Consider the following 6,105-nt stretch of genomic DNA (forward strand, 5'->3'; position numbering starts at 1 on the left):
TCTTTATATGAAAAATCTCATGTTCTTTCTACCTGATTAGGTCAGAATTGCAGCAAGAAACAAATGACATACTCAAATTAGGTAACTGAGGAGAGCTAATAAAGGGGTTATTTATAAAGCTGTGGACAGAGATAAGAGAAACCTACAAGTAATGGTTTGGTATCTTGGGCCTAGCAAAATGTTGCAGGATCCTTGGGGTGTCACTTTTCTGGCTGGAAACCTGTAGCTGATGGCGCCTTTGCCCAAGTTTTGCTTGAGCCCACTGGGCTTGTTCTGCCCACTTGGCTAGGCAGGCTGTGCTCAGCTTATGGTACCAGCCTGGATCCTATGCCTCCAAGGGAGGCTGTGAGTCAGGTGTGGAGTGGCAAGGGGTGTGTGAGCAAGCATGGGGTCTGGCCACCGCACAGTCAGACACACTGTCTGATGCCACAGGGTGGGCAGCTCCAGATGCCGGCATGGGTGCCAGCTCTCTGCAAGGCTGCAGCTGGAGCAGATGCACTGCAAGCAGCTTCCCCAGCTGGCACTGGGAAATGCAGTGGTGACTGGAAGCTTTGAGATGCCAGGAACTGCAGGGTCCCAAAGAGGGCATCACAGCCCTGGCTTGGGGAGCTCCCAGGCCTGGGGTCCCCAAAGGGCTGCAGCTCTTTTCTCCATCTCTTCACCCACAACATGGTGAGCAAGGGACATGTTTCAGCTCTGTTTGTCTTACAGCTCTTTTAGCTTTGTCATTTGGTGGGTCCTGAGTTCTTGTCCTGTGACCAGGAAGAATGAGGTACACAGACAAGTCGAGAGTGAGCCAGACAAAGAGGAGCTTTACTGAGGAATAGAACAGCTCAGAGAAGACCCACAGTGGGTAGCTCCTCTCTGTAGCCAGGGTGTCCCAATGAGTGTTTGGCTCCTAGCAGAGAGGGTAGCTCCTCTCTGCAGCTGGTTATCCCAACAAGTGTTCAGCTATTAGCAGAGAGGGTTGCTGTCTTTGTAGCTGGTCATTCCGTCACCTGCAACTCTCCGCAGAAAGGAATCCCTAGAGTGGGTGGCTCCTCTTTGCAGGCAGGTCATCCCATTATCTCTGCAGCTGGTCATCCTGTTGTTTCTCCATCCTCTGCTCTGCTCTGGCTGAGCCCAGGGCTTTTATGGGCCTCAGAGGGCAGAAAGTGCACACCAATTGGTCCATTGGCGGCTATGGGCCAACCTGTAAAAGGCACCACACGTTCCCACTGTGGTACATGGAACTGGCAGCCTGGCCCCCAGCCTTCAGGCCTTCCCTGGCCTGAAGTTGGAGCCTCACTGTGGACCTGTCCCCTTCCGTCCAGGAGCCTGTCTGCCTCCTGCTGCCATCCATGGCACCCAGGCTGCTTGCACAAAGGGGCACCTGAAGGCCAGTGCCGAGCTGCTCTCAGCCTTCCCTTGGCTCTGCCCTTCATACTCTGGAGGGGGCCAAGGTGGCAGGGGGCTGGTGTGTCTGACTGTGCTGTGGCCAGACCCCACACCCGCTTACACACCATTTGCCACTCCACGCCTGACTTGCAGCCTCCCTTGGAGGTGTGGGATCAAGGCCAGTAGCATGAGCTAAGCACAGCCTGCCAGGTTTGACTAGGCAGAACAAGCCCTGCAGGCCCAAGCAAAACCTGGGCTAAGGTGCCACTGGCCACAGGTTTCTGGCCAGAAAAGCAACACCCCAGTGATCCTGCAACAGTATCCAGGGACTAGCAAAAGCCAGAAGCTATCTCCTTGGAGAGATTAAGGAAGAAAGTGGTCATTAGAACTCTGAGGGTCAGGACTTTGGCTTTCAGCAGAAGGATGAAGAAAATTCTAATCCACAATGATACACAAGGAAGGGAGGGAAGGGAATAGATACCCTATTCTTACTCTCCCCACCCTCTGCTTTCTTGCTGGTGACTTTAATTGATGGAAACAAACTTGAGGCTTGAGGCCAAGGGAGTCCATTGAGAAGGCCCATAAAGGTCAGCCTTTGAATGTAATAAAAGGGACAGACGATCTGGAGGGTAAACAAACTGTATAGCACACCATCCCATTGGCCGTAAGAAAAATAGTGTTAGATAATGCTTTTAGGTGTTTTTGTAAAGCTTTCATACAGATAAATAAATGATCCACAAAGCCTTTTTGATTCATTGCAAAAAATATGCAAATAACAACAACCCCCTCCCCCCAAAAAACCTCAACCAACAGTGGCTTAAGCATTGAATATATTTAATTATATTGTATTTGAAGAATTCTGAATTACAGAAATCCAGGGCTGATTCAGTAGCTCAGTGACATCATCAAAGATGTCATTTCTTTTTTCACTTTTCATCCCCACAGCCACCCACTGTGTTGGTTCTCCTACTGTGGCTTATTACTGGCAGGTTATAATGTGTCTCTCATAGCCCCAGGTCACACAAATGTACTTGTAGGAAGTTAGGCACAAAAAGGGCACTTCTTTTCTTCTAAAGAAGTTTTGCCTTCTTGCCTTCATCTTATTCATGAAGCAAAATCTTAACAAGAACCTCAGGAAGACTTAATCTTTACATTTTAATTGTCAGAATTGGTTTGCATACACACTCCTACTGCAATGGGATCTGAGAACGCGAGCATATGCCAGAGGGGAACTGGAGCTTTATGACTGGCTAAGCTCAATCACGAATCGTCCCCTGGACTTGGCACACTGCTACTCTTATCAAACCAGGGTACCACTAACTGAGAATAAAGTAGGGAGGAAAGCTGTTAGTCAATGAATATTGTCTTGAAATTAAAAAATATTACCTTGAAAATAAAAAAAATTCAACTTTTATTTTAGATTCGGGGGTACACATGCAGGAGTTTTACTTGGGTATATTGTGTGATGCTGAGGTTTGGGGCACTTATCTTGGATTTTGATAATCCTTTTGCTTTAAAAAGTGAGATGAACATTCTCTAAGTCTAACTTAAATTTTCAGTTTTGGCTTGAATCTGTCCCCCCTTCTTAATGTATCCCATCAAGTTTTATACTTAAATTGGATCACACAAGTTACTATTTATTCCCATAACACACTACACTTTTCCTTACCTCCATGCTATTCATTTTTCCTCCCTTCTACTGTTTCTCAGTATGATAAATTTCTGTCGATCCTTCAACATTTACATGTTGTTGCTTCTGCTGTGAAGACTTTCTCTCTCCCTCACTTTCTTCCTGCTCCTAAAGTTTCTTCAAACCCATCCCTGTTTTAGCTGCATTTTATGGTAAACTTTATCTTTATGTCTGTTCCTCAATCAGAATATGACTTACTGAAGAGCAAATTTGAGTGCTTTTTGTTTGTTTCCTCCTCTGCTACATTGATGCATTAATAGTCCCCAATTCTTTACCCTTCCCTGTATCCATGTCCTTTGCCATACATAATTATTTAGGGGCCTTCTCACCCTACCCAATTTGTTGACTCTGGGTTCAAGGAGTTGTTTTGGCCAATGGGATGTGAGTATACACGATGGAAACAGGATTATTGAATTGAGGCTACTCTCTTATATGTCTGTCATTGCCGTGAGAAGATCGTGATGAAGTGTAGTCTCTTCGTTGCCTCAAGCTAGGATAGCCTAGATCAGCTGACAGCCAGACAATCTGCAGACCCATAGGCAAACCTGCTCAGAGCTTCTTAGCTGACCACCATAGGTGCATGAGCAATAAATATTTAATATTGTATGCCATTGTGGTTTTGTGGGTTTTGTTACATAGCATTATTGTGGCAATAGATAACTAATACACCTCTTCTGTACACAGAGCAACATTTAACACACAGGAAATAAAAGCTTTATTACAGTAGCACCTCTGAAAGTGCTTATTATACTCTGTAAGTGGTGTGAGACTGGACATCAGTGTAGTTTTGTTTCATATTATTTTTAATTGAATATGGGATATCCAGGTATGAATATTCAGGAAGTGGTTAGAGACATAAAGCTCTAGTATACCTTAGAGAAAAGAAGATTTAGAGCTATGGGTTAGCAGTTATATTCATAAAAGTGAAGCCAATAAAATAATTATGACATTTATTGAGCACATATTCTATGTCTGGCACAATACAGACACTTGGAACATAATATTAAACAACATAGACATAGTTTCTTCTCTCATAGAAAGACATACAAAAAAAGTTAAAAGCAAAAATAAGTAATATAACTACAAATTCAGGTAATTATAGAAGAAATGAATAAATGGCTGAGTTAAAGAATAAATAGAGGGTTCAAGACATGTTCAAGATTTCATGGTCATAGAAGGCCTTCTCAAAGTGGTAACATTTAATCTGAGAAATCCTGAATGAGGAAGGGAGTTTATCTTGCAATAGAGAAAGACACCCCATGCAATAGAAGCAGAATGTACAAAGGCCCCAGAAAACAGATAAGCTGAGGGTGTTTGAAAGAACCGTAAAAGCCATGGTGTTTGGAGCATACTTCGTTAGGAAGTACATAGAACAGAATGAAGTTGGAGGAATAGGCAGTAAGCATGTCATAGACTGTTGGAGGAAGTCTGGATTTAGATTCTAAGTCAAATATAAAGCCGTACTTTATGGTTTTAAGCAGGAGGGTAACAAGATGCAATTTATGACTTATATTTGAGGATTATGTTAGGTAGGTATTATCTATATGTAATCAGAGTTTTGAGAGATCTGATGTTCTTAACTGTGTAATATTGAATCTTGTATTTCTACCCATTATGTTCACTAATGATGGTTGGGCAGTGTATTAGTTCATTCTCGCATTGCTATAAAGAACTATCTGAAACTGGGTAATCTATTAAAAATAAAGGTTTAATCACCTCACAGTTCTGTGGGCTATACCATCTTTTGCTTCAGGGGAGGCCTCAGGAAACAATCATAGCAGCAGTTGAAGCAGAAGCAAGCACATCTTCACATGGCTGGCGAGAGAGAGAGAGAGAGAGAGAGAGAGAGAAAGGAGCAGGCACTACACACTTTTGAACAACCAGCTCTCGTGAGAACTCTATCATGAGAACAGGAAGTGGGAAGTCCACCCAAAGGATTCAGTTCACCTCCCATCGGGCCCCTCCTCCAACACTGGGAATTACAATTCGGCGTGAGAATTGGGTGGGGCCACGGAGCCAAACCATATCAGGCAGGTTCCATAACTTTCTGTTGGGAAAGTTGGCATAGTAATTGTAGTAGTTTGGCCTGTTCTCTCGTCTAACTTTGAACGCCCTTTGGGAAGGTTTCTGATCTCAATATCTGGTGGCGTATTAGTATTCTTTTTTCAAAGTGGCGCAATAGTATTTTTATTATCAGTCTTGGGCCTCAGCAACTCAAAGATAACAGAAAAATATTCTACTCAACATTCTGTCACATGTTTCATAAGTTAAACTGAAGCTCAGGAGATGTAAAGCATGTATCCACTGTCATATGAGTAGCAGTTGAAAGTAAGAGCTAGGGTTTCCATCCTATACTACCTGATGCAAAAGGCTACGTTCTGAACCACAATGTTATATTGTTATTCCGAAGACATGAGTTCTGTCAGCAAGAGTGGAAAAACAAAAAAGTAGAGGTTTGAGGACCGTGTTACATTCCATACAAGCTCAATATTTCTTCTGTCTACTTTATCCTGCCCCATCAGCTAGACTATTCATTTAGAGTACCTTGACCTCAAGGCACTTAAAACTATGGAAACTTGGAGATAGAAAGTAAAGTGAAGCATCTCAAAAATTTTCACAGAAATTAAGAAAATAAAACTGTTCAATCACTTACTTTCCGGAAATTCTGAGAGGTGCCTTGGAAGTTTCCATTTTCAAACAAGAGAAGCTGAGATACGGACTGGCAATGCAGAACAGAAGTCGCAGTGCCATTAAAAAAACTAAACTTCTATTAAAAAGTCTAATGCTTGGTTGCCTAGAACCCCCATATGACATTCCTAATCCATTGCCTCTAGGAATTCTACATACACCCATCAATTTTATATATTTTCATAAACTCACTTTTTTCCTAAAACTAGTGAGGATTCTAGAATCTAGCATATAAAATCATTTAGCTATTTTCTCTAACTCCCAAAAGTACAACATTTCTTTCTTGAGAAAAAGCATCATTCTGTCTGCTTCTAGACCCACCCACATCTGTCTTTCTGGAAACTATATTT

The 6,105-nt window shown here is 42.8% G+C and overlaps 1 annotated feature.

Moving 5' to 3' along the window:
* Positions 1,459–1,993: an enhancer, noted in NCBI's record as "H3K27ac-H3K4me1 hESC enhancer chr4:107307293-107307827 (GRCh37/hg19 assembly coordinates)". NCBI's record gives its function as "activates a minimal SCP1, AML or CMV promoter by ChIP-STARR-seq in naive H9 embryonic stem cells {active_cell/tissue: H9 hESC(naive)}" and the evidence as "EXISTENCE:reporter gene assay evidence [ECO:0000049][PMID:30033119]".

Source organism: Homo sapiens, chromosome 4 (assembly GCF_000001405.40).
Source record: "Homo sapiens chromosome 4, GRCh38.p14 Primary Assembly".
Taxonomy (NCBI): domain Eukaryota; kingdom Metazoa; phylum Chordata; class Mammalia; order Primates; family Hominidae; genus Homo; species Homo sapiens.